The sequence below is a fragment of the Homo sapiens genome, chromosome 13 (genome assembly GCF_000001405.40).
Source record: "Homo sapiens chromosome 13, GRCh38.p14 Primary Assembly".
Taxonomy (NCBI): domain Eukaryota; kingdom Metazoa; phylum Chordata; class Mammalia; order Primates; family Hominidae; genus Homo; species Homo sapiens.
This window is the reverse complement of record NC_000013.11, coordinates 48,026,189-48,053,605: the sequence shown is the minus strand read 5'-3', so window position 1 is coordinate 48,053,605 and position 27,417 is coordinate 48,026,189. Positions and strand designations below refer to the sequence as shown.

The following is a 27,417-nucleotide window of genomic DNA, read 5'->3' as shown; positions in this document are numbered from 1 at the left end:
CACTGCAGCCTCGACCTCCTGGGCTCAAGTGATCCTTCCACCTCAGCCTCTTGAATAACTGCCACTAAAGGTGTGTGCCACCATGCCCAACTAATTTTTGTATTTTTTTGGTAGAGATGGAGTTTCACCATGTTGGCCAGACTGGTTCCGAACTCCTGACCTCAAGTGATCCACCCACCTCGGCCTCCCAAAGTGCTGGGATTACAGGTGTGAGCCACCGCGCCTGGCAAGAGCCTTCTTTACTTAGCACAGAAGATTGCTTAATAAATACTTCTTGGTTATATTGCTTGCCTGTTTTGTTAGATCCTACATAAAACAAACTCTTAGGGGATAGAACTAGCTACTGAACTGGTGTTTCTACCACCGTTCTTACCATCGGTTCTGGCAACTATTTCTCCTGGCCACTTCACTTCTAGCCCTTTGGGTCAGTCAGCTAGACACCCAAACAGTTCACCTGGGATGGCTCATGGAGAAAAATCCGTGCATGGTAGCTGGGGTGGGATGGTGGCCTCTCGGGACCTCACTGCACTCTCCTGTTCTGACCTGCTGATCTACTATTTCCCTGATTCTAAACTCCTCATTCCATCCCCCAGCCCTTTAGTCCCTTAGTATGGTTCTTGCCCAACATGGCATCTTTCATTACTGAACCTGTTGACCACCTATTCTTTCTCCTTCCATTTGAATTCAACTCTTTGGTGGTGGCATGAGCAGGGACGTTGGTTAAGTTAGTGAACTGCCATAAGTATTTGTAAACCCAGTGTACGCAAAAGCCATTAAGAAAATGAAAACTCTCCTGGCCATGGATTGCTTCTGTGTAGCACTGCTGATAAGAAAGACGGGTGAAGCAATGTGTGGTCGAGAGCACTTGGTTTATTTTCACCAATGGCAACAACAGAGGGAGGAACAAAGTGCAGGTGTGTGTCCTGCAGTTCTCAAACTGGTAGACCTAAAACATTTTGTGGACAAGTTGAGCCCTTCTTCATACTGTCTTAAAGCTGCTTCCAACTCCCTCAAGGCAGTTCATGGCTCCTACTTGACAGACTTCCACCTGTGGTCTGGTTTACCTCTCTTGGGGTTGCAAGAATATCTTACCTAAATAGTCACTTTCTCTGCATCCCAAGTATCTTGTTGATTGAAACATCTTATTGTGTGAGTCAGGTTTATCTAATTCTACTGATTTATTTCCACTAATAAAACACAACATAATAAAATTCTCAAATATGCATGAACACATAATTATATCCCTTTAAAAATACAGAACCTGTTATAAGGTACATTTCACATGCATGTTACTTAATAATTTCCCCTACAACATAGTAAGTTACCCTCATTTTTCCTCACATTAGTAAATTGGCATTTGGATTTCAGCTTCCTTACCCAGTTGTGAACTTTGTGTACATCTTTAGCCAGAGTATCACTTCTGTTTCTATTTTGGACCCTAACTCCTCCTTACTATAGAAACAGATATTCTTCATGTCCCTGCCAATAATTGGAATGCAGTATTTGCATTTCCTATTCTGAGGATCCTCAATACTACTTGTTTTCTTTCTGACCCAGAAAAAGAAAAAGTTAAGAAAAAGAAATACTAAAAGGTCACTTTTTTCATTCAGCTAGTATATATTAGGCATTTAGCATTAGCAGTTACCACTCTGGCTGCTAGGTATATAATAGAAAGACATGGTCTTTAGTCTAAAGGAGTTTACTTTCTACTGGGGAGACAAGCAATCAATAGAAATCAACATGACATCTTCCATAATATACAAGTACTGGCAGCCTTATCAGATGCATCAGACCTAAATCCTCAAATAATCAAAGCTGTGCTCAGCCACAGAAAATACCCTTCCAGAGTCACATGTGATCCCTGAAAGGTGAACATATTTCCTTTTCATTCACATGAATAGCACTTATGAAAACTACAATATTGATGTATACTTGTCTTCAGCCATTTTGAAGGAGGAGGCTGACTTGCGGGCATTTTATCTGCAGAATTTAACTTATTGCTTCACAAATGCATCAGAGGTGAATTCAACCCATTAGAAATTTAAACCATGCTATTCAAAAAGACAAAAATGGGCGGCTTTGGAAGAACACAACTTGTGACATGTCTCATTTAAGCCTAGGGCCTTATGAAATCAAGCGCTACCTCTGAAGTCAACATACAGTAGAAATGGTGTAAGGTGAGATATGTCAAGGTCCAATTGGGTGAGTCCAGGTTTCACAGAGGAAGGAACCTTGAACTAAGGTACGAAAAACTAGTAAGGATCTGTTAAGGCACATTGAAGGTGGGTGTCGCATTCAGTTCAGAAGGAGCTGCAGGCGCACTGGCAAGGAGGTAGGAACCAGCCTGTTGCACTGGATGAAGCACAAAGATGCTGAGAGTGCAGGGTGCAACAGCAGGGTGTGATATAATGAGAAAATTAGTCCAGGGAAATTAGGAAAGCTCATACGTCAGGTTAGGGATTTTATTCTACAGGTGATGGGAACTTCCAAAGACGTTTGGGAAGATGAGACATAACTAAATTTATGCTTTGAAAAGTCACTCCAGGAGTAATGTCAAAAATGAATTGGAGGGTTAAGATGGTAAGTTTTATGTTACGTGTATTTTACCACAAGAATAAAAATAAGCCATTCAGTTGATTGGCGGAGTAAAGCTGCAGGAAGAGTCTGGGGAAAAGGTGGCACGGGCCTGGCCTAGGGGAGAGGCAGGTGGGACCATGTGATGGGGGTGGATTCAAGAGACAAGAAACAGAATGGACAAGAAAGAGCAACTGCTGGATGCGGGGAAGGGAATCAAATTTGAGCAATTCAGCAGATGGTAGAGCCCTTCTCTGAGAAGAATAGGAGGAAGTTCAGTCTGAAACACAGCAAGCCAGAAGGATGTGGACAATCAAGTAGAGATGCCTGGTGTGCGGTGGGGCCTGGAGCTTAGAAACATCTGGGCTGTAGATAATATTGTTTGGGGAGTCATCCAAGAATAGGTAGAAAGTGAATCTATGAAGGAAAACAAAAAGTATCAAGTTATCAAAAATAAGTCTTGTTATCAAAAATAACAAGTATCAAGCCAAACTGAAGTTCGTGAAAAGTTTGGCTTACTTGCTACTATGTTGCTTTTGCCCACGAATTGATCTGATAAACAAAATGAAGAGTGATACATGATTGAATACAACGTTATTAACCAATATTATTATGCAAAAAGCCAAATATTTAAATATTTTATTTTTTGAGATAGGGTCTCACTCTGTCGCCCAGGCTGGAATGCAGTGGTGGGATCATAGCTCACTGTAGCCTCGATATCCTGGGCTCAAGCAATCCTCCCACCTCAGCCTCCCAAGGAGCTGGGACTACAGGCAAGCACCACCATGTCCCACCAACTCCACCACACCTAGCTAATCTTTAACTTTTTGTAGAGACAGGGTCTCACTATGTTGCTTATGCTGGTCTCAAACTCTTGTGCTCAAGTGATCCTCTGGCCTTGGCCTCCCAAAGTGTGGGGATTACACTGTGCCTGGCTATTTAAACATTTCTTTCTTTTCTGTTTTGAGACAGAGTCTCATTCTGTCCCCCAGGCTGGAGTGCAGTGGTGTGATCTTGGCTCACTGCAACCTCCTCCTCCCAGGTTCAAGCACTTATCCCGTCTCAGCCTCCTGAGTAGCTGAAACTACAGGTGCATACCACCACACCCGGCTAATTTTTCTATTTTCAGTTGTGACAGGGGTTCACAATATTGGCCAGGCTGGTCTTGAACTCCTGACCTCAGGTGATCCACCTGTCTCGGCCTCCCAAAGTGCTGGGATTACAGGCATGAGCCACTGTGCCTGGCCTATTTAAACATTTTGAACATGAAAATGAGAAAAAGTCTGGAATGGGAATTTAAGGAAGTGTGGTAGGTTTAACTGACAGTACAAATATTGTAAAGTCCTTATCATACGACTTGGCACACAATAGATGAAAAATTAGATGTTTTGGAGAACCTTAAGTATTAATTTATACTTTTAATTTATTGAAGTACATAAAATGGAAGATGTGGAACACAATGCACATTGTTACCTTTAATTTTCACTTTTTATAAAACTACTCAGCTGGGCGCGGTGGCTCATGCCTGTAATCATAGCACTTTGGGAGGCCGAGGCAGGCAGATCACCTGAGGTCGGAAGACCAGCCTGACTAACATGGAGAAACCCTATCTATACTGAAAATACAAAAACTAGCTGGACGTGGTGGTGGGCACCTGTAAACCCAAATAGGAAGCTGAGGCAGGAGCACTGCTTGAACGCGGGAGGCGGAGGTTGCGGTGAGCCGAGATCGTGCCTCTGCACTCCAGCCTGGGCAACAAGAGTGAAACTCCATCTCAAAAACAAAAAAACTACTCAAGTGCAGCACAGACATCTGCGTACAACATAAATAATTACTAAAAACAGAGGCAGCTTCAATATATGATTTTATGTTGAAAGAAGACTTTGGATGTCTTCTCTTATATGAATGATTCCCTGAGCTTGCTTTCTCCCACAATCTCCATTTATTGTGATCATTTCGTGCCACAAAGAAGAGACTATTTCACCTAAAAGTATTTGCCTTGTTTGGGAAGCTGGCAGTCAAGATAACAAAGAAGTGACTCCTCCAAGTGGATCGGAAAGAGGCCGAATTCACCTCAGGCTCCACTGGGAAGACTTTTGGTAAGGTGTTGCCAGAGTCAGTATAGGAGCACTTGCCTATCCTGGGACAGATGACACCTCAGGGTTGGTCCAGCAAATAGACGAAAAGATATTTCCCTCCCAGCAACCTGGCAGTAAAGTACACTTCCGGAACTCTAGCTGACATTTAGTTTTATGAGAATGTTGCTAGTCAGCTTTAGTTTTTTTTCTATTAAAGGCAATACTCAAACCATCCAGGCATTAACTGCTTTCTTAACAGTTCTAAATCCTGCTTCATTCATTGACTTATTTAAAGAAATATTTCCTAATTACTGAGTTGTCACTGAATGCCACCTGAGCACATTAAGTGCTGATGTACACACAATCCCCTTCTAATTAATATGGAATTCTTACCTTTTTACCTTTTCCTATGAATAAAACTCCTGGTTAGTTTTTTCTTTCCATTGAAACACATTTCATGTCAAGTTGGTTGAGTTAAAAAACAAACAAACAAACCTCACAAGCTTTCAATGAGTTTGTCATTGCCTTCCAAGTAGCTGGGACCACAGGCATGTGCCACCATGCCTGGCTAATTTTTAAATTATTCATAAAGACAGGGTCTCCCTGTGTTGCCCAGGCTGGTCTTGAGCTCCTGAACTCAAGCAATCCTCTCACCTCAGCCTCACAAAGTGCTGGGTTTACAGGTGTGAGCCACTGTGCCAGGCCTTGTGATGAGTTTTTGAAGCTATAAAATATCTGCATGGATAAGTACTAACATAAAGAGATATCTTAATGAATTACCAATGAACTGTAGTTGAGATAAACCTATGAAAGGATTTAATCCATAAGCTCGCCTGCTTTCTTATCAAGCTTCACATGTCTATCACTTAGGAGAAGCCAGGGACAGGGATTCAGTCAACTGAGGGACTGAATTTTACTGAAATTAAGTAAAATGAGGAAGCAAGCAACAGAAGGACATGGAATAATCAAATAGGAGTAGAAAAATTAGTGTGAAATTAATCCATATATCCAAAGAACAAGGCATACATACACACTTATTATATTTGAGCTCTTCAAACATTTCAAAATCATGCATCTAACATCAAAAATATGGGCAGGGCGTGGTGGTTCATGCCTGTAATCCCAGCACTTTGGGAGGCCAAGGTGGGCAGATCACTTGAGGTCAAGAGTTCGAGATCAACTGGGCAACATGGTGAAACCATCTCTACTAAAAATACAAAAATTAGCTGGGCGTGGTGGTGCATACCATACCTGTAATCCCAGGTACTCAGGAGGCCGAGGCAAGAGGATCCCTTGAGCCTGGGAGCTGGAGGTTGCAGTGAGCCGAGATTGCACCACTGCACTCCAGCCTGGTTGACAGAGTGAGACCCTGTCTCAGAAAAAAAAAGAAAATGAGATTTCTACATGACAAATTATACAATGTACATATATAATTTTGAAAAAGCAAACAAGAAAGAACTTAAAAAATGATACTCACTGGAAAAAGATTCCTTAGCAAGTATTATGATAGTACTGGGGTCTTTTGAAAGAGCAAAATTCAAAGGTAATCAACTCTAAGAGAAGCACAGGATTTCACAGAAGTGCGCTCAAAATTAAAAATGTGAGCTTTTGGCCTAATCTGGCAAAAATTTGGATCCCTTTGTACTCTTAAAAATTACCAAGGACCACAAAGAGATTTTGTTTTTGTATGGTTTTATCTAGAAATATTTATCATATAGAAATGAAAACTGAGAAATTTCTTAAAATTTTTATTAATCATTTGCAAGTAACAAGAACCAAGTATATATAAACACATAAAAACATTTTTGGCAAATAGCTAATTTTATTTTTTTCACATATTAAAACCCACTAAAAATAACCATTTTTCTAACTAACCACAACAAAAATTAGTGAGAAGAGTACTGCTGCTTTACATTTCTCCAAATCTCTTCAATGTCTGATGACAGACGAAAGCTGGAATCTTGTATCTGCTTTTGCATTCAGCCTATTACAATATCACACCAGATAGCCTCTTGAAAACTCCTCTGCATACTCATGAAAAAATGAGTGAAAAAGATAAATGATGGCTGGGCGTTGTGGCTCATACCTGTAATCCCAGCACTTTGGGAGGCTGAGATGGGCAGATCACTTGAGCTCAGGAGTTCCAGACCAGCCTGGCCAACATGGTGAAACCCCGTCTCCACTAAAAATACAAAAATTAGCCAGGTGTGGTGGTGGGTGCCTATAATCCCAGCTACTCGGGAAGCTGAGGTAGGAGAATTGCTTGAACCCAGGTGGCGGAGGCTGCAATGAGCTGAGATCGTGCCACTGCACTCCAATGTGGGCAACAGAGCAAGACTCCTTCTCAAATAAAAAAAAGGAAAAGCTATAAATAGTGAAATGATGTCTTAGTGTTATAAAAACAGCTTTGACCTAGAATACCCTTGAAAGGCTCTTGAGGCCCCCCCAGACCACACTTTGACAACCACTGCTCTAGACGAATCTCTTCATATATATGAATCTCTTCATATAAGGACCCTGGACCTCAGAAAGAGTAAGTGAGAAACTCAACATCACAGCCTATTAATAGCATGATACAGATATTAGATGGTTTGTCTCACTTCTCTTGGTTTAGATTCTCAATTGGAAACCTGGGAAATACACCCTAATGACCTGTCCTATTCCCTGTAAGTTGCAAAAATTGTCACAATATATTACCCTCTCCCCAACATTTCTTTAATAAAAGAGGTAATCAACAAATTTGGTAAATTTTGCAACAGCCATACTCTGTTTGAACCTAAACTACAATATTTGAATTCAGGTCTCTATTTGAACAGAAACACTAAGGCAAATTTGACTGCATCCTACTCCATGCAAGCTAGTAATGACAAACTGCACAGTAAATATCATAGGTAAATATGGAAAGCAGATTACCCATAATATCAGTATTTATCATGTATTCTGTGTCTGGAATACAATTCAATGACATATTTCAGAAAAATTTTCTCAAGTACTGGCTGAAAGAGTGGGGGATACATTAAGAGACTGCAAATAAACTGGCAATCACAAGAACTTTTTTAGATAAAATGGAGTTGTTCCGAAATGTATACATTTTTCATTCCCTAACCAGACCTTATTCTTGTCTTTTTAAAGAAAATCAAATCTTCTCGGCCACCTAGAGATGATTTCCTTTGTATCCCACCAGATGGTTCAGATCTTCTTTAAATGGATCATAGCCTTGTTCTTTTAAACAACGCAGTCCCCAGAAAAGCTGGTCCAGGGGAGGTAGTTCTTCCCAAGGAACCCACTCCCAACCTAGAAAAGAAAGATGCTAAATCAATTTATTTAGATAACAGAAAACAAAGGGTGTTTATTTGGGTAAGCTAACCTATATTTAGAAAAAATTAATTGAATTTAAAAATAACTTGCTACTAATAAACTCATAGTGATGCTTTGCATTTGCTTGGCTATACAAATATAATTTGCATGTAGAATGAAGGTCTTATGAAGAGAATGGTGGTCATTTAAAACATTGTGTTATTTGAATGTGAAGCCCAGTTTACAAAGGCTATGCCATGGTAAACCCAGATTTAGTATTAGTCAATGTTTATGTAAATATTTTTGTAAAAAATGCAAATAACGTTATATACTATAGGTTATACTACATTAAAATAAACCACTTCCTTCACCTATAAAATAAAGTAGATTACAAAGTTTCTAAGATATCCTCCATCTCTTAAAAAAGTAGAAAGCTGTGCAGAGGAAAATAAAATATTGTACCTTGGTATATTTTAAACAAATACAGAAGGAGATGATTTTTAAAAATCCATTGAAACAAAGATTTAACAGTGTCTATCAGTTATAAAGTACATGAAATTCTAGAAAAAGATTCTAGAGAATGGTGTTTCTTTCATGATTTAAATGTAAATAACATAGACGCACAGATGCTTATGACAAATACCTACATATTATATTAAGATACACACTCCATGTTCTAGTTTCTTTATGATCACCTGTTTTTACTATGTGTAAGCACTAAGTATCTTTCTGTCCATAAAATACAGGTATATAGGTACGTATTTTCACTTTGGGAATGCAGGGGCCGAAAATCCATGAAACTGGAATAAGTACAGGAAGAGTAACTGTGATCAGTAACTGTGACCATACACTAATGAGGTGGGGGCGGGAGGGGGAGAGGGAGGGCGGGAGAGGGAGAGAGAGAGAGCGAGAAAGAGAGACAGACAGACAGACACAGACAGACTGAGTACCCAACAATGTGGTGCAAGATGCTTAATTAACCAGGTCTCCAAAAACCCATCCATGAAGTTTACCCCATCCCCTAGAAAATGAAGTGTCTGGATGAGCCTCCGAACTATAATTAGATGGTTGGAGGAAAGATGCACTAAATAGTAAACTGAAGCAGGCTACCCAGATCCAAGGCCTGAGGAGCACGGGATAGAGAGACTGTGTCTTTATCCTAGAAATAAAACAAAGACCCACCAAGTCCTTGTACCTTGGCTAGGCTGCAGCTGGTTATCAGTGTAGTTGGTTATCAGGCTGCAACTGGGAATAAAGTGAACATAATTCCTGCTGTATTGTTACTAACAGATATAGAGCAATAAATGTTTTTGATCAAATCTGATTTGATGCTAGTAATCTTGGACCTTGTAAATCATACTGCTTTATTTGAGACTACTAGCAAGGTTCATGTCAGGGAGTTAACAAAATGAAAGTGAACAAATAAAAAAGTTACATAAATGAATTTTAAAAACCACAAAGCATGTAAAACTACTCCTAACTACTATATCCTAAGAGGAATAAAACAATACATATAGTTACATGGTTATAAAAACTCATGATTTAGTACTTAAAGTAGAATAGTAATCTTATGGAAGTTATTAAAAAGTAGGGCAGTCTAGTACTAAATGACAGCTTCACAGGAAGAGGTTGGCTTGTATGTTCATTCACTGGGTCCTTCCTTCCTTCAACATATTTTGAATTCTGATTATGAGTCAGACACTGTGTTTGGCAGGGAAGAGTTCAAAATGTATAAGCCAAAAGAACTGTTCTTTATAGATTCAAAGTTCAGTAAAAAAAATAATGAGCATAATTTGAAGTTGAGTTGAATTTGAGATGCCTTCTGAACATTAAGGGAAGATACTTAGAAAGCAACTGGAAACACAGGCCCGCAGCTCAGAGGAGTGAGATTCAAAATTATAACTTGCATCAGGATTCCCCAACTCAAATCCCTACAGAGGCTAGACAGGGCAAAAAGAGGACTGAAGAATGAGGAAGCACCCAGAGGTGGCTTGGTGAGAATGGTCAAATAAAGCTTGTGGGACAGTCAGTGACCTTGGTGTTTTCTCTATAGCACCTTCTCTAAAAATGAAGGCTTTCTATATCTGCTTCCTGTGAAGGATACTGAATTTAAAAAAAAACTATTCCATCATATTTGTCTCTTCTAGTCTCAGCTTTATTTGCCCATAGAAAAAAGAAAAATAAGAAAATGTTTAGTCCATTTCTTCTTTTTGAGACAGGGTCTCACTCTGTCGCTGCTCAGGCTGGACAGCAGTGGTGCAATCATAGCTTACTGCAGCCTTGATCTCCCAGGCTCACATGATCCTTCCATCTCAGCCTCCCAAGTAGCTGGGATTACAGGCATGTGCCACCACTCTGGCTAACATTTTTAGTTTTGTAGAGACAGGGTCTCACTATGTTGCCCAGTATATGTGTGTACATCCCTTTGTCAGAGACCCTTCCTAACCACCCTATCTGATACAGCACTCATATATCCCTTTCTTACACAGCTTTATTGCTCTTTTTAGTCCTTATTGCTACTATCATAAAATATCTGTAATCTGTCATTTCCCCCGCCCACTAAAATGTAAAGTCCAAGAGGGCAGGGACTTTGTTCTACGCACCATTGTTTCTTTAGTGCCTAGAACAGTGTCTCAATACTCAAAACACTGTACTCAATAGGTATCTGTTGAATGAAAAGATTCTTCCCTATTAGAGAAGAAATTAAATGTTTAGAGGGGAGGTTCAATACATAAGACCACTTGGATAAAGTTTCATATGGCAAGGAATATATTCAAAAAGTTTGATATTTTTCTCTTTAGTTCCTTTTCTGACTGTTTTATGAGAATTTGAGGAGAGATGGTAAACAGAAAACCCTTAGAACAATGCTTAGCACACGGTAAATAAACTTTCAGTGCACTCAATTCAACATAGAGGGTAACAGATAATGAAACCACCTTTGCAATATTATAACAGTGAGAGATATCTAACAAAGCTGACTCCACCTTGCTTCTAACCTCACAAACTGTCTCCTCATTTCTACACACAGGCCAACCTAACTATGGGAGGAATTTAGTTTACAGTTTAACTTTAAAGCAAGGATGGTAATAGTCCTTTCCCAAAACTAACCCCCTCCTTGTTAAGGGACCAAAGCTGCTTTTGTAGAACTAATAAAAGGCCACAAGGTTAAAATTATGGTAAGGGCCAGAACTCTATTAATAAAGATGTAGGCATAGTTAAACTCTAACCAGGCATCATTTTATAACTTGCTTTTTTGTAACTGCTTACTGCTCAGGAAGCATGTAGCCCGTGGTCAAAAGATTTATAACTTTCCTATTTACACCTACAGATGACATTGCTATTGTAAAACCTAAGACTAGTGTTTGAGATATTTTTCAGACTTTGCATTCTAATGGACCAACTGGTACCACCCAAATCGGTAAGCCACACAAAGAAACTGACTCAAGTGGTCCTGTGAACCCCCCATCGAGGAACTGACTCAGCACAAGAAGACAGTTTTGACATCCGTATGGTTTTATCCCCAACCCAACAAAGCAGCATTTCTCATTCCCTAGCCCCTTGCTTGTCAAACCATCCTTGAAAAACCCTAGCCTCTGAATTCTCTATGGGTAGGATTTAAGAATTATCTCCCGTCCTCCTCATGCAGCTGCCCTGTGATTATTAAACTCTTTCTCTGCTACAACTCCTACTGTCTCAGGGTACTGGCTTTTTCTGGGTGGCAGGCAAGAAGAACCCAACTGCTGTGAAACAATAATTGTTTTATCAGTGTAATTATTTACCGTAAATGGATGGTATTAACTCTCCTGCGCAGGTGAGAAAACTGAGTAAAACAGATAAAATATTTTCCTTAAAATTACTGCCTGAAACAAAATTAAACAATAACAATAAAACTTACTGTGTTCACGAGGTTCTTCGTATGTAAATCCTTACAAGAATCCATCCAAGGTACTTATTATTATCACGGATAAGAAAAGAGGCCCAGGCATGAAATAATTTGCCCAAGGTCACAAAGCTCTAAGAACCAGGACACAAACACAGTCTGGTTCCTCATGGTCCAAATATATTTACCTATCTATATCTCTATATTACATCTCTACATTCATATATCTTAGGCTATTTGGACTGCTATAACAGAATACTTCAGACTACATGGCTTATGAGCAACAGAAATTTATTTCTCAACAGTTCTAGAGACTGGGAAGTCCAAGATCAAGACACTGGCAGATTCCATATCTGGGGAGGGCCCACTTCCAGGTTCACAGACAACGATCTTCTCTCTGTATCTTTACATCATGGAAGGGGTCAGGGGTCTCTTTTATAAGGGCATGAATCCCATTCATTATCTTATGATCTAATCACCTCCCAAGGGCCCCAACCTCCTAAAACCTCGTCATGGGAGTTAGGATTTCTACATAGAATTTTGGGGGAACACAAGCATTCAGACAATAGCATTCTCTTCATATGGCAACATACTGTAATATTCCTCCAGACCACTTGCTCTCCTGAAAGAAAAATGCATGATTATATATAATTCTCTTACTTTCATTTTTTTCAGGCTCTACATTCTTTGGTTCTGAATCATGAGTCACATCCACTTCTCCTTTCATTAATATAGTAACATAATGGTAATTCTCCTTCTCAATGAAAGAATTCACAACTGAGGCAAAGTGAACATTTTTCAGGTGAAGAGCTGCTTCTTCCCAGGTTTCCCTTTGAGCACATTCTTCCCAGGTTTCACTGGAAAACAGAAACAAAAATTAGATTAATTCTATTTTTTTATATATACACATGTGTGTGTATATATATGTATATATATAAATGTATATACGTGTGTGTGTGTGTATATATTTTGCCATGAAATTCTTGGCTAGAAAATTCTAGTGTAAAACAAAAAGAACTGTAATTGGTTCCTGCTTTAAAACAACAAATCAGCTGGGCATGTGGCTCATGTCTGTAATCTTTTGGAAGGCCGAGGCAAGAGGACAGCTTGAGTTCAGGAGTTGGAGACCAGCTGAGGCCAACATAGTGAGACCTCATCTCTCAAAAAAAAAAAAAATAGCCGGGCATGGTGGTGCGTGCCTATGGTCTGTGGTCCCAGCTACTCAAGAGGCTGAGGCAAGAGGATAGTTTGAGCCTGGGAAGTCAAGGCTGCAGTGAGCCATGATGGTGCCATTGCACTCCAGCCTGGACAAACAGCAAGACTTTGTCTCAAAAAATAGTAATAATAATTAATTAAAAAGATAAAGATTTAAAACCAGTAAATCAGCAACCTTGCCCTTGACATTATATCCTGTATCTAGTTATCTAAAGATGAAAAGGACTTAATATTGAATAAAAATTAACATTTAGCCATCTCAGCACTAATTTACAGCCCTGGAACCTGTGTGTAACAAGGAGGCAGTTTAGTGCATTAAGAGCAGACTTTGGAGTCAACTAGACCTGGGATTGAGCTCAAAGTTCATTACTTTCCACCTTGGACAAGTAAAAAGAGATTATATTACTTCCTCATGGGGTCACTGTAATTGTATCAAGAAGTGCCACTATGTCTTTTCCAGCAGTCTCAGAATTTCAATTTAAGCCTCAAAACTGAAGACAATAGGTAAAAAGCACTTCTAAATTCTCAAGCAAAAGGGCAAACAGATGTCATCTGAGCTCAAGCTCAAGCTAAGGAAGGCCAGACTAGACCTGTGACTTCTCCGTATCCAGGCTACATAAGAAAGACAGGAGGCCGGGCGCGGTGGCTCACGCCTGTAATCCCAGCACTTTGGGAGGCCGAGGCGGGCGGATCACGAGGTCAGGAGATCGAGACCATCCCGGCTAAAACGGTGAAACCCCGTCTCTACTAAAAATACAAAAAATTAGCCGGGCGTAGTGGCGGGCGCCTGTAGTCCCAGCTACTTGGGAGGCTGAGGCAGGAGAATGGCGTGAACCCGGGAGGCGGAGCTTGCAGTGAGCCGAGATCCCGCCACTGCACTCCAGCCTGGGTGACAGAGCGAGACTCCGTCTCAAAAAAAAAAAAAAAAAAAAAAAAAGGAGATGTTTGAGACAGAGGAAAGTTTGGAGTTTTCAGCCTAGTAGGAGCATTTCCCTTCCAGACTACAAGGGGCCAACTCTGCCCCCCCAAGACAGGTGAGGAACATTCCAAGAGAATCAGTCACAAGATTGGGAGTGACTCAAGAAGGAGATACTCAGTGTGTCACTCCCCTGCTAAAGACATCCTGAGCTGCAGAAACTCACAGGCCTACCCCAGTGCATCAGAAAAGGTGTGCTACAAGGGTGAAAGCTCTTGGGTAAATCTGAAATGTGTCCCTCGGAGTTTCCAGATGCAGATGAATACAGAGGTAGAGCAAGGAAAAAGGGCAGCAGTGGAAATATCATTCCCATTGTGTGTTTCCTTTGGGCCAAGCAGATGCCACAAGAGACTGCTGGGTAATCAAATAGGAGATCCCAGTAGAAAGAAAATGTGGGGTGATGTGCTAAAAGCAAGAGCTAGGAGGTGGGCCAGCATCACAGAAAGCCCGTCACCTATGTCAGGAAAATCTCTGTGGGACTTCCCAACAACTGACAAACATACCCTGAGAAAGCACACATGTGGATATCATGCCCAGAGGACACCAATGGATGGATCAGAGCAGCATCAGTCACCTGAATGGCTTGCTCTCTCTCCTCCTCCAACACACTGGAGAAAGAAGGAAACTCAGAGACAGCCAGGTGAGAAGAGGAGGAGGATACAGAAAAGCAGAACAATGGCTCACACCTCCTTTATGCACTGCAGGGGAGGGATTAGAAACTGGAAGTGACACTGAAGGTTTAAATTGGATTGGACTTTTAAATGCTTGGAAGTGAATCATACTGACCCAAATGTGATTTATTTTTATAACCAAGTGACAAGAAAACTATAGAATTTGCAGGAAACGTCACTGAAGAGGGAAAGAAAAAATCATGTTTGAAGGCAGTGGAAGGAGAAAATAAAACCATTTCCTGTTTGTTCTCCCATCAAATTTAGCCCACTGAGTATGCCAGTTATGTAAAGATCAAATGAAAGTATACATGCAAAGAGCTTGGCATATTATCCAGCCTTTAACAAAAAGCCCATTAGAGCTCAATGTTGGCTATGGTCATTGACCTCACGGGTGGATCACCTGAGGTCAGGAGTTCGAGACCAGCCTGGCCAACATGGCGAAACCCCGTCTCTACTAAAAATACAAAAATTAGCACGGCGTGGTAGCGGGCGCCTGTAATCCCAGCTACCAGGAGGCTGAGACACAAAAATCGCTTGAACCCAGGAGGCGGAGGTTGCAGTGACTGGAGATAGCACCACTGCACTCTGGCCTGGGCTACAGAGCGAGACACAGTCTCAAATCAATCAATCGATCAATCAATCAATCACATGGAAACGGTGCAATGTCTTAGCTGACAATATCGGGCTGCTGGAGGTTTACACACACCTGCTTTCCTCCTTTTGTGTGTAAGCTGTGAGAAACACACCTCACAGACGAACTCCCAACCACCACCCAGCAGGGGCGCAGCCGGAAAGACCCAGCTAGCAAAGACCTCGCCTGACCCAGCACAGCGCCCCCTCCTGGGCGCGATCCTACGTCGCCCAGAAGTCGAGGGGAGGAACCGAGGGAACGCGCAAGAAAGGACGCAGCGTCAGCGCGGACGTTCTCACGCACGGCACACGGAAGCAAGCACGGCGTGAGTTCGTCCCTCTGCGCACGCCCCGGTTTCCTCGCGTCCGCGGCTGCTCACCCGAACTCCAGATGACCTCCAGGGAGTTGGAAACTGCCAGCTCCAACCGAGCCTTTCCTCTTCCCCAGGAGGACGCAACGCGGATGCTTGCAGCTGGTCACCACGACTCCGACTCCGACTCCTGGCCGCCGCCCGCGCGGCTGTGCGCTGGCCGTCATAGCGCGCGGGAGGACGCGCCTGGCAGCGGCAGGAAGTGACGCGCTCACTACCCCGTCCCGCGGCCGCAGCCAATCTCTCCCCGCGAGGGCGGAGGCGCCGAAATCAAAGCGAGAGCGCCTCGGCCTCTCCAGCTGTCCGCGGTGCGTAATGCGTCGCGGAGGGCTATCAGGTTGGGGAATGCCGTGTTTCCTTCCGAAGGGCAGCGTGCCTTAGAGTTTCGCTGTAACTAAAGTCGCTTACAGTTGTGCTTTGAATATTCATCACCCGTCAGCCTATCCACTCCCAGATTCCTGCAAACCATGCATTTACATGTACAAGCCGCCTGCTCTTACCAACCTCGGCACCACTGCACATTCTTTTTTCCGTGAATGACCTCGCCCACCATGGTGCACCCATTTGCCCTGTAGCTCAAATCAGCGTGGTACCAGGATAAGGATAGGTCGTTTAGAAACATCCCATTATAAACAACTATGCTTAAGGTATATTCATAAGTCATGGGAGGAAATAAAGGCTAATTGATAAATCATGCTGGGAAGAGTTAGTTACAAACAGTGGAAAACAGACATTTTCAGATGTTTGCACACCATGCACCATGCAAAATACAAACCAGCTGAATCATAAAAACAAATGACTAGTTACTGGGAGGGTTTTCTCTCTTTCTCATTATTTTTACTTCTACCAAAGTAATGTGCACATACTGGTAATTTTATTTTATTTTAATTTTCACCAAGCTAGCTAATTTTCTTTCTTTTTTTTTTTTTTGTGGAGGTGGGCTGTCGGTCTTTTGTCGAGGCTGATCTCCAACTCCTGTCCTCAAGCAGTCCTTCCACTTGGGCCTACCAGAGTGCTGGGATAACAGGCGTGAACCACTGCGCCTGACCTATAGCTATAATTTTAAGAAGTAAAATGGTGCAAAAACCGCAACAAGAGCAACCTGACCCTCCTACTTTCAGAAACAATCACTTTTAACTCTTTGAACTGTATTTCTGATATTTGCCTACTTATTTCTAAGTAATATGCTTACTCTCCATGTTATACTAAATGGGTATTAAGCTTTTCACAGCATCTCTCCTCACTATCAACATTCACATTCATTACAAAGGTACTTACAATATCTTCTCAAAAAATGGTAGTATATAAAAAGGATAATATATTGAACAATGAGATTAATCCCAGAAATACTAGGTTGGCTTAATATTTGAAAAGCCAATGTAATTCAGCATATTAACAGAGGGAGAAAGGAAATACATATAATCATCTCAATAGATGCAGAAAAAAATTAATAAAATCCGATACTCAGTTGTGATTAAAAAAACTCCACAAAATCTCTGAGCAAACTAGAAATAAAATGAAACTTTAACATGATATATGGCATCTACAAAGACCTACAGCTAACATCATATTTAATGACTGTTTTGAGCTGAATTGTGTCCCCTCAAAATTCCTATGTCGAAGTCCTATCCCCCAGTACCTCAGCATTTGGAGACAGGATCAAGTTAAAATGAAGCCACTAGGGTAGGCCCTATTCTAATGTTATGACTGGTGTCCTCGCAAGAAGTAGAGATTAGAACCCAGACTGTGTTCTATTGGAAGACTGTATGATGACACAGGGAGAAGGCAGCCGTCTACAAGCCAAGGAGAGCAGCCTCAGAAGAAACCAAGTCTGCTGACACCTTGATCTTAGAATTCTAGCCTCCAGTATTGTGAGAAAATTAATTTATGTTATTTAAGCCACACAATCTTTGATACTTTGTTATGGCTTGATACTTTGTTATGGCAGCCATAGCACTAGCCTAGCCTTATCTTGGTGAAAGACAAGATTTGGGAGGAGCTAGGGTATCCACTCTGAGCACGTTTAGTCATCATGTTGCTGGAGATTCTAGTTAGCACAACTCATAAAATTTAAAAATCAATAAAACGTAGTTAAATTGGAAAGGAATAAGTAACCGTCTTTTTTTTTTAAAACAATCCTGAGGAATTAATTAAAAAGCCATTAGAAGAAATAAGTTTAGCAAGGTCGTAGGATTCAAGGTTAATATACACAATTGATTATATTTCTATATATTAGCAATGAACAATTGAAAAGTAAATTTTTAAAACAATACCATTTATAATACCATAAAAAACATAAAATACTTAGAAATATATTTAGCAAAAGATATGGAACACTTGTATACAGAAGACTATAAAACTGAACCAAAAATAAAATTCTAAGCACCTCCACCCCCAGCCATCTGAATGGACTCCTTCCTCTTGGCCAGAGCACTCCAAAGTTAACCTGAAAAACTGGTTGAAGCCATGACAGAGCAGGGGTCAGATATGCCTCATTATGCCACCTTTCTTTTGGAATTCAGGAAAAGCCAACTAGCATTTAACATTAACACAGACCTTAAGTCTGATAAGAAACATTTACAATCTAGTCTCTCTGAAGCCTGCTACCTGGAGGCTTCAGCTGCATGATAAAATTTTGGTCTCCACAACGTCTTATCTTAACCCAGACATTCCTTTCTATTGATAATAACTGTTTCAACCAATTGCCAATCAGAAAAATTTAAATCTACCTATAACCTGGAACCCCTGCCCCACTTCAAGTTGTCTCGCCTTTCTGGACCAAACCAATGGTCAATCTGTATCTTAAGTGTATTTGATTGAAGTCTCATGTCTCCCTAAAATGTATAAAACCAAGCTGCTCCCCAACCACCTTGGGCATATGTTGTCAGGGTCTCCCAAGGGCTGTGTCACAGGCCATGGTCACTCATATTTGGCTCAGAATACATCCCTTCAACTATTTTACAGAGTTTGACTTCTTCCTTTTTTTTAATTTCAAGTTTTTGGTTACATGGATTCGTTCTTTAGCTGTGATTTCTGAAATTTTAGTGCACCCATCACCTGAGTAGTGTACACTATATGTAGTCTTTTATTCCTCACTCCCCTCCAAACTTTCCCCTCCGAGTCCCCAAAGCCCACTGTATCACTCTTATGCCTTTGCATCCTCATAGCTTAACTCCCACTTGTGAGAACTTACAATATTTGCTTTTCCATTCCTGAGTTACTTCACTTAGAATAATGGCCTCCAGCTCCATCCAAGTTGCTGCATAAGACATTATCTTGTTCCTTTTTATGGCTGAGTAGTATTTTATGGTGTATATATACCACATTTTCTTTATCCATTCGTTGGTTGATGGACACTTAGGTTGGTTCCATGTCTTTGCAATTGCAAATTGTGCTGCTATATGTGCATGTGTTTTTTTTTTTTTTTTTTTTTTTGGAGACAGTCTCACTCTGTTGCCCAGGCTGGAGTGCAGTGGCGCAATCTCGGCTCACTGCAAGCTCCGCCTCCCACGTTCACGCCATTCTCCTGCCTCAGTCTCCTGAGTAGCTGGGACTACAGGCGCCCACCACTGCGCCTGGCTAATTTTTTTGTATTTTTAGTAGAGACGGGGTTTCACCATGGTCTTGATCTCCTGACCTCGTGATCTGCCTGCCTCGGCCTCCCAAAGTGCTGGGATTACAGGCGTGAGCCACCGAGCCCGGCCGCATGTGTGTTTTTTATGTAATGACTTATTTTCCTTTGGGTAGATATTCCGTAGTGGGATTGCTGGATTGAATGGTAGTTCTACTTTTAGTTCCTTAAGGAATGTCTATACTGTTTTCCATAGTGGTTGTACTAGTTTACATTTCCAGTAGCAGTGTAAAAGTGTTCCCTTTTCCTCACATCCAGGCCAACATCTATTGTTTTTTTACTTTTTTGTAATGGCCATTCTTACAGGCGTAAGGTGGTATCTCACGTTTTAATTTGCGTTTCCCTGATGCTTGTGATGTTGAACATTTTTTCATGTTTGTTGGCTGTTTGTATATTTTCTTTTGATAAATGTTTATTCATGTCCTTTGCCCACTTTTTGATGGGATTGTTTGTTTTTTTCTTGCTGATTTGTTTGCATTCCTTGTAGATTCTGCATACTAGTCCTTTGTCAGATGCGTAGTTTGCCAGAGTTGGACTCTTTTCATTGATAGAATGTTGCTGAAGAAAATAAAATACTTAAGTAAAAGAAGAGAAATATTATACTCATGGATCAGAAGACTCAATATTGTTAAAATATCAATTCTCTACAAATTAATTTATATAGATTCAATGCAGTCCTGATCAGAATACCAGAAGGCTTCCCTTTCCAGTAGAAATAGATAGGTTGATTCTAAAATTGGTATGGAAACACAAATAACTAGAATAATAGAAACAGTTTTTAAAAAGAAAACATTTAGAGGGTTCACACCATTTGATTTCAAGACTTAGGATTAAGCCACAGTAATCAAGAGAGTATGGTGTTGGTAAAAACATAGACATATAGATCAGTGAAACAAAATGGACTGGAAATAGATCCATATATATGTATATATCCATATATAAATTAATTTTTGAAAAATGTGCAAAGGCAATTCAATAAAGAAAAGATAGTATTTTTAACAAATGGTGCTGGAACAAGTTGACATAAATGTAAACAAAAAGCCTTGATTTATAATTGGCACCATATATAAAAATTAGCTCAAAGTGGATTGTAGACCTAAATAAAAACATCTAAAGTATACAATTTGTACAAGAAAATATAGGTAAAAATCTTTGTGATCTTTGGTTAGGTATAGATTTCGTAGCTATGAAAAGAATGACCCTTAAAAAATGATAATCTGGCTTTCACCCAAATTAAAACCTTTTTCTCTTTGAGAGATACTGCTGTGGACTCAACTGTGTTCCCACAAAATTGACATGTTGAAGCCCTAATCCCTAAAATGATGGTATTTGGAGATGGGGTCTTTGGGAGGTAATTAGGTTAAATGAGATCGTGAGGCTAGGGTTTTCATGATAGGATTAGTGGCCTTGTAAGAAGAGACCACAGAGCTTTCTTGCTCTTGCGAAATGAAAACAGAATTCTAAGCTTCCAACTGACTGAATGGACCCCTCACACCCCCAACTTGGCCAAGGGAATGCCAGAGAAACCTTGGATGCTGAATTTACATCTATGATAGGATAGGAGGTTGGACACACCTCATTATACCCCCTCCCTTGTTAACAGTCATTAGGTTTTCAGCCGGGCTCTGTGGCTCACACCTGTAATCCCAGCACTTTGGGAGGCTGAGGCAGGCAGATCACCTGAGGTTAGGAATTCGAGATCAGCCTGGCCAACATGGTGAAACCCCGTCTCTACTAATAATACAAAAATTAGCCAGGCGCGGTGGCTGGTGCCCGTAGTCCCAGCTACTTGGGAGGCTGAGGCAGGAGAATCGCTTGAACCCAGGAGGTGGAAGTTGTGTGTTGGGAGAAAAGCTGAGTGTTGGGAGAGAAGCTGAGGCAGGGCTTGCATGTCTGATATAATGTGAAAGAGTCTTGGAACATGTCCGGGGTCCAGGGTCTAAAACCCCTCGTGGCCTTTAGAACACCAAGCTCTGTGCTAAAGGGTGGAAGGCTGCCGTGCCGCACCATAATCTAAGGCCAGGGCATAAAACCCCTCATGGCTTGGATGGAACCCAGGGCTCAGGGCATAAAACCCCTCACGGCCTCTGGAATGTGTCAGACTTGCTGGCTCCTTGCTTCTAGCACTCCCATTATCTCAAGTAGCAGAACATGTTCCATATGCTTCAAAGAAAATGCTAAAGCATCACAGCTATAGCTTATTTGCTTGATGCATCGCTACCTTTCAACCTCCACATCCTCACCACCTGTTTCTTTGTTTGATCACCAACAAATAGCGTGGGCTTCCAGAGCTCAGGGCCTTCACAGCCTCCATACTTGCGTTGGCCCCCTGGACCCACTTTCTCTCTCAAACTGTCTTTTCTCATTCCTTTGACTCTGCCGGACTTCATCACCCCCCATGACCTGGTGTTGGGTCTGATCACCCCAACATTGTGGTGAACCGAGATTGCACCACTGCACTCCAGCCTGGCTGACAAAGTGAAAGTGTCTCAGAAAAAAAAAAACACAAAAAACAGTCATTAGGTTTTCTTCCCTAAAGGCTGAACAGAAGCTAGCCCTTTCAAAAGACTGCTAGTTTTATCTTCCCAGGTGTAGAACAAAAACAAGATGAAATTAATAGTTCCTTCACCAGTCCCTGAGATAAGATGAGATTAATGGTTCCTTTACCTCTCCCCTAGATGGCTGCTTCCTCTAGTCCCTTTTTCTTCAAATGTTCACCTTATCATATGTAAAATATAGATTTACTTGGCTTTAACTAAAGTCTCATAAGTAGGTAATCATTTATCTCACTGCTGTCTCCTGTTTTTTAAGGAAAATGTATAAATACTAAAGCTCCTGTGAACCTTTTTGGAAAAAATAGCCACAGATGCTTCTGTGACTTACGTTTTTCCCAGGCACAGCCTCAAGCTGGCTCAATAAACCTGGGTGATTTGAGACTTATGCCTCAATCACTCATTTTGGTTGTCACTCTATCTGCTGTGGTTTGAATATGTACCCCAAAGTTCATGTGTTAAAAACTTAATCCATAGTGCAACAGTGTTGAGAGGTGAGAGCTTTAAGAGGTGATTATGGCAGAGCCCTCATGAATGCATTAATGCTAATATCTTGAGAGGAGGTTAGTTATTGTGGGAGTGGGTTCCTGATAAAGAGACGAGTTGGCCCTTCCAACTTTTCCCTTCTCTCTCTCTCATGCACACGTGTGTGCATATATGTTCTCTTAACCCTCTACCCTTCCACCATGGGATGATACAGCAAGAAAGCCCTTATTAGATGCCGTCTCTTGACTTTGGTCTTTCCAGCCTCCATAACTGTCAGAAATAAGTCTCTGTTCTTTATAAATTACCAAACAGAAACCATCCCTTATAGTGGCACAAAACAGACTAAGACAATCTCTCTGCTCTGTGAGAAGACAGTGAGAAGGCAGCCATCTGCAAGCCTGGAAGAAGGCCCTGACCAGGAAGAAACCCTACTGTCACCTTGATCTTCTTGGACTTGCCCGCCCCCAGAACAGTGAGAAATAAATGTCTCTTGTTTAAGACACTCACTCTATGGTATTTTGTTATAGTAGCCTCAGTTCACTAAGACACTAGTTAAGAAAACAAAAAGGCAAGCTGTGGACTGGGAGAAAATGTTTGCAAAGAACATATCTTATGAAGGACTTGGACCTAGAATATGTAAAGAATCCTCAGCAATCAATAATAAAGCAAACAACCTGATAAATATATGGACAAAAGAATTGAACAGATATTTCACCAAGAAGAGATATTGTATTAGTCCATTTTCACACTGCTTATAAAGACATACACAAGACTGGATAATTTATAAAGAAAAATAGATTTAATGGACTCACAGTTCCATGTAGCTGAGGAGGCCTCACAATCGTGGTGGAAGGTGAAAGTCACATCTTACATGGCAGCAGGCAAGAGAGAATGAGAGCCAAGTGAAAAGGGATACCCCTTGTAAAACCATCAAATCTCATGAGACTTATTCACTACCATGAGAACAGTATGGGAGAAACTGCCTTTATGATTCAATTTCTGTCACTGGGTTCCTCCCACAACTTATGGGGATTATGGGAGCTACAATTCAAGGTGAGATTTGGGTGGGGACACAGCAAAACCATATCAGATATGATGGCAAATAAGCACATGAGAAGATGCTAAACGTCATGAGTCATTAGGAAAATAAAAGCCTAAACCAAACTGAGGTACCTCTGCACATCTATTAGAATGAATAAGAAAAAAATCCCCATGAAAACTGGCAATACCAAAGGCAGGTGAAGATACAGAGTTGTTAGAACTCTCATACATTGTTGGTGAGAATGCAAAATTGCACAACTGCTTTGGAAAACATGTATAATGTTAATCATACACTTATAATAGAACCCAGTAACCTTACTCCAAGATATTTACTCACGAGAAATGAAAACTTACGTTCATACCAAGACCTGTATGTAACAGTTACACTGGCTTTATTCATAATCATCAAAATCTGGAAACAAACGTTCTTCAACTGGTGAATGGATAAATCAACTGTGGTAAATTCATACAATGGAAACCCACTCAGCAAGATAACAGAGCAAACATCTGATACACTCAACAACATGGATGAATCTCAACTGCATTATGCTACATGAAAAGAATCAGATATAAATGGCTACATGCTGTATGATTTCATTTATATGCATTTTGGAACAGGCAAAATTCTGGACATAGAAAACAGGCCAGTGTTTGCCTGGGGCTGAGGATGTGGAGAGGGGTTGACGACAAAAGGACATGGGGGATTTTTTGGGGGTGATGGAATGGTTCTGTATCTTGATTATCATGGTGGTAATATGATGATGTATTTGTTAAAACTCATAGAACTGCACACTAAAAAAGATGAATTTTACTATCTGTATATTAAAACTAAAATCAAACTTTTTTAAAAAGCCAAAAAAAGAAAAATGTAACGTGGATTTGCAGAAAGAAAAAAATCAAGATACAATTCAGCAGTAGAAAGGGTCAAAGCAAAGCTGAGCTGAACTGCTCCACTTAATATCAAAAGTGGTCATCCTTGTGGGTGGAGCTGAGTTTATGAAGATTATATATCTGCAGAGGCTAGCCTTAGCAGGTTCCTCCTCTCTCTGGGCCTTAGAGGACTTGGAGAGCCTGGCTCTGGGGTGATGGTATTCATCGTCCCAGGCATTCCTGTTGAGGTGAGTAGGCCGCTCCTAGAACATAGTAAGTAGGAAATCTGGGGCTAAGAGGGGATGGGAAGGTGAATAGGAGAACCTATACATTCAGAAGTCACATTTGCTAGCCAGTTTAAAGTTTTCTTTTATTGCATAGTAGTTGCATTTTATTATCCCAAAACCTTCAATAAAACCTGGTTATATGTTATAGCCTGATCTTTACTAAGCTTTGAAGAGTTGGAATAGCCTAAGTCTACCCTCCCATAAAGGAATGACAAGAAAGGAGCATCAGCCCAGAGAAGCATTAAAGTCAAGGAGGATGCCTTTGATGTCAGTATCTCTAGTACCCAAATGGTGACTAACACATATGTACCCCATAAATGAGTATTTGAGTAAAAGCTGCTCTACCTTATACCAGTGTAACAAAATACAGATGTCCCCAGATTAAATGGTCTGATTTAATGATTTTTCTATTTTACAGTGGTGCAAAAGCAATAACATTCAGTAGGCTCCTTATGATGGGCTATTTCCAGATAAACTCGTTGTAAGTTGAAAATATAGTCAAGTTGAAAATCTTGTTTTCAACTTACAATGGGTCTATTTAGATGTAACCCCATTGTAAGTCGAGGAGCATCTGTCCTTTTAAATAGTTAAACTAGAAAACATTTTTCTTCTCCTGAAAACTTTAGCCTGTGTGGAGAAAGGTGGCATGATTCACATAAAGTACAAATGGTCATGAAAAAAAAAGCACCAAGCTGATGTTTATGAATCATATAAAAGAAGTGTCAACCCACATAAATATTACTCTAATTAGAGAACCCCCATATTGAATTCCCTTCTGCAGGATTCTCAACCAGTTGAACAGGATCTACCAGGAGTTATTGCAGCATGAGAACCTGATGCAGCTCCTTATTGCTACACTTTCTTTTGCATTTTTCCAGATTCCTAGATGAAGGAAAGGTGATCCAGGCAAAGAGGCCCCTCTCCTGCCCAATTCCAGGACTCTACCAGGAGAGCACCATTTTCCTCCCTCCATTTACACAGAAATAGCCTCAGTCTGGGGGATGCTGGAATGCTCCTCATACTGGCTATTTTGTTCTGCTCCAGTATATCCTTATGTTAATGGCAGCCTCTCTGTTCTATTTTCATACCTCTTTTATGTATCTATTATTATTGAGTCAGCTTTTTACCAGAAGATAACTGAGGCTGAGAATATTCCTAGCAATGAAGTATGAAGCAGGCCCTCCTTAATTTACCTGAAGAACATGTAACGAATACAGTTAGGTTATAAGGTGAAATAATGCAGTTAAGGTCATGCTGCCCAATTCCTCTTTCCTTCACCTGTAACTCTTTCTCAGGAGATTGATTTGGAAGAGAGAGTCCACTGTAGCTGGAACCATTCTTTCACCCCACCCTGCCCTGGGCAACCCTGTGCTGACTGGATGTGCTTGATTATTATTTTATTTTATTTTATTTTAATTATATTTTATTTTATTTTATTTTATTTTATTGTAAGATGGAGTCTTGCTCTGTCGCCCAGGCTGGAGTGCAGTGGCACAATCTTGGCTCACTGCAAGCTCCGCTTCCCGGGTTCATGCCATCCTCCTGCCTCAGCCTCCTGAGTAGCTGGGACTACAGGCACCTGCCACCACGCCTGGCTAATTTTTTTGTATTTTTAGTAGAGACGGGGTTTCACCATGTTAGCCAGGATGGTCTCGATCTCCTGACCTCATGATCCGCCTGCTTCGGCCTCCCAAAGTGCTGGAATTACAGGCGTGAGCCACCGCGCTGGACTGGATGTGCTTGATTCTACTCCCAGACCTGAGCCTCTTGTTTAAACTCATCCAGTTTCTTTTCCCTCTTTCCTCTGGTCTATCCCTATGTTTGATATTTGAAGCTTCATATGTAAAACTCAAGAATCCACCTTATGGTTTCATGTAGTATTATATGGTATGTATTGTAACTGAATCACAAATTTAACTCACACTGCAACTCAGATGTGTGAAGAAAATGAGTTTCTTTCTTTCTTTTCTTAATAGGGAGTCTGATTTTTTCCTAAATCTCTTTGTCATTAGTTGGGATATGGGTCTGTGTAAAATGAATCAAATGTTCAATGTGGTTCAACTTGGTCTCATTAAATCATGTTCACTCTGTCCTGGTTTAAAGGGCTGTCCTCTCAGTCATCTTTCTTCTTCTTGTGCCTCTTTTTTTTTTTTTTTTTTTTTGAGACAGGGTCTCACTCTATCACCCAGGTTGTAGTGCAGTGGTGTGATCTCAGCTCACTGCAATGACCTCTCAGATGAGGCCTCAGATGGGAAGCACGACAAGGCTGGGGCAGAACAGGAGAATCCCCTCCTGCCTTCAACACTATCCTCATTTATCTAATGCACCTTCTTTCACCAGAGTAAAGATCACAGAGATGAAAAACTAACATTTCACTCCAGTCTTTCCTCTTTATTTCTATTTACTACTATCCTTATGGGACAGAAAGGGGAAGGTTACCACCCTCACTCTATAAAATCTATAATTTATGGACTAGCCCTGATCTTTCATATTCTTAAGGGAGAGATATAGGTCCGACTTGCAGGCATATTGCCTTACTCCATAATCCTATTTTGAATGTTAGAAATTGAATATTTAGTCTGGACACGGTGGCTCAAGCCTGTAATCCGAGAACTTTGGAAGGCCAAGGCAGGCGAATCACTTGAGTCAGGAGTTTGAGACTAGCCTGGCCAACATGGTGAAACCACATCTCTACTAAATTACAAAAATTAGCTGGGTGTGGTGGTGCATGCCTGTAATCTCAGCTACTTGGGAGGCTGAGGCACGAGAATCACTTGAACCCAGGAGGTGGAGGCTGCAGTGAGCTGAGATTGCGCCTCTGCACTCCAGCCTGGGGGACAGAGCAAGACTCCATCTCA

The 27,417-nt window shown here is 41.0% G+C and overlaps 1 protein-coding gene and 1 long non-coding RNA gene across 5 annotated transcripts, besides 4 other annotated features; one reads left to right on the top strand and one right to left on the bottom strand.

The window, feature by feature from the left end:
* On the bottom strand, positions 851–15,880 carry NUDT15 (nudix hydrolase 15). Of its 4 annotated transcripts, none has more exons than NR_136687.2 (5): positions 15,702–15,880; positions 12,490–12,686; positions 7,764–7,946; positions 5,904–6,021; positions 851–2,991 (listed from the first exon to the last, which is right to left on the bottom strand). NR_136687.2 is itself a non-coding variant. In NM_018283.4 (3 exons), the coding sequence occupies exons 1-3, from the start codon at positions 15,857–15,859 to the stop codon at positions 7,807–7,809; spliced, it is 495 nt and encodes a 164-aa protein (NP_060753.1). In that variant the 5' UTR covers positions 15,860–15,880; the 3' UTR covers positions 6,385–7,806. The 4 variants fall into 4 exon arrangements, 2 of the variants coding, with proteins under 2 accessions (NP_060753.1, NP_001291674.1); NR_136688.2 differs by having other exon boundaries at positions 7,807–7,946; NM_018283.4 differs by lacking the exons at positions 851–2,991; positions 5,904–6,021 and having other exon boundaries at positions 6,385–7,946.
* Positions 15,000–15,875: an enhancer, noted in NCBI's record as "OCT4-NANOG-H3K27ac hESC enhancer chr13:48611867-48612742 (GRCh37/hg19 assembly coordinates)". NCBI's record gives its function as "activates a minimal SCP1, AML or CMV promoter by ChIP-STARR-seq in primed H9 embryonic stem cells {active_cell/tissue: H9 hESC(primed)}" and the evidence as "EXISTENCE:reporter gene assay evidence [ECO:0000049][PMID:30033119]".
* Positions 15,384–15,543: an enhancer, noted in NCBI's record as "active region_7721". NCBI's record gives its function as "activates an Ori minimal core promoter by ATAC-STARR-seq in GM12878 lymphoblastoid cells {active_cell/tissue: GM12878}" and the evidence as "EXISTENCE:reporter gene assay evidence [ECO:0000049][PMID:35858748]".
* Positions 15,594–15,833: an enhancer, noted in NCBI's record as "active region_7720". NCBI's record gives its function as "activates an Ori minimal core promoter by ATAC-STARR-seq in GM12878 lymphoblastoid cells {active_cell/tissue: GM12878}" and the evidence as "EXISTENCE:reporter gene assay evidence [ECO:0000049][PMID:35858748]".
* LOC124903172 (uncharacterized) lies at positions 15,614–26,661 on the top strand. Its single transcript, XR_007063788.1, has 2 exons — positions 15,614–16,000; positions 25,438–26,661. It is a non-coding gene; the product is annotated as an uncharacterized LOC124903172 (long non-coding RNA).
* Positions 15,876–16,752: an enhancer, noted in NCBI's record as "OCT4-NANOG-H3K27ac hESC enhancer chr13:48610990-48611866 (GRCh37/hg19 assembly coordinates)". NCBI's record gives its function as "activates a minimal SCP1, AML or CMV promoter by ChIP-STARR-seq in naive H9 embryonic stem cells {active_cell/tissue: H9 hESC(naive)}" and the evidence as "EXISTENCE:reporter gene assay evidence [ECO:0000049][PMID:30033119]".
* Positions 26,662–27,417: the final 756 nt, after the last annotated feature.

Bases quoted from the DNA above. Each gene is read 5' to 3' on its own strand.
- NUDT15 (NM_018283.4), bottom strand. From the start codon at position 15,859: ATGACGGCCAGCGCACAGCCGCGCGGGCGGCGGCCAGGAGTCGGAGTC. The intron at 12,687-15,701 runs GTGAGCAGCCGC...TCTGTTTTCCAG, and splicing joins GGAGGTCATCTGGAGTTCGG to TGAAACCTGGGAAGAATGTG. The intron at 7,947-12,489 runs GTAAGAGAATTA...TTTCTTTTCTAG, and splicing joins AGAGCCTGAAAAAAATGAAA to GTTGGGAGTGGGTTCCTTGG.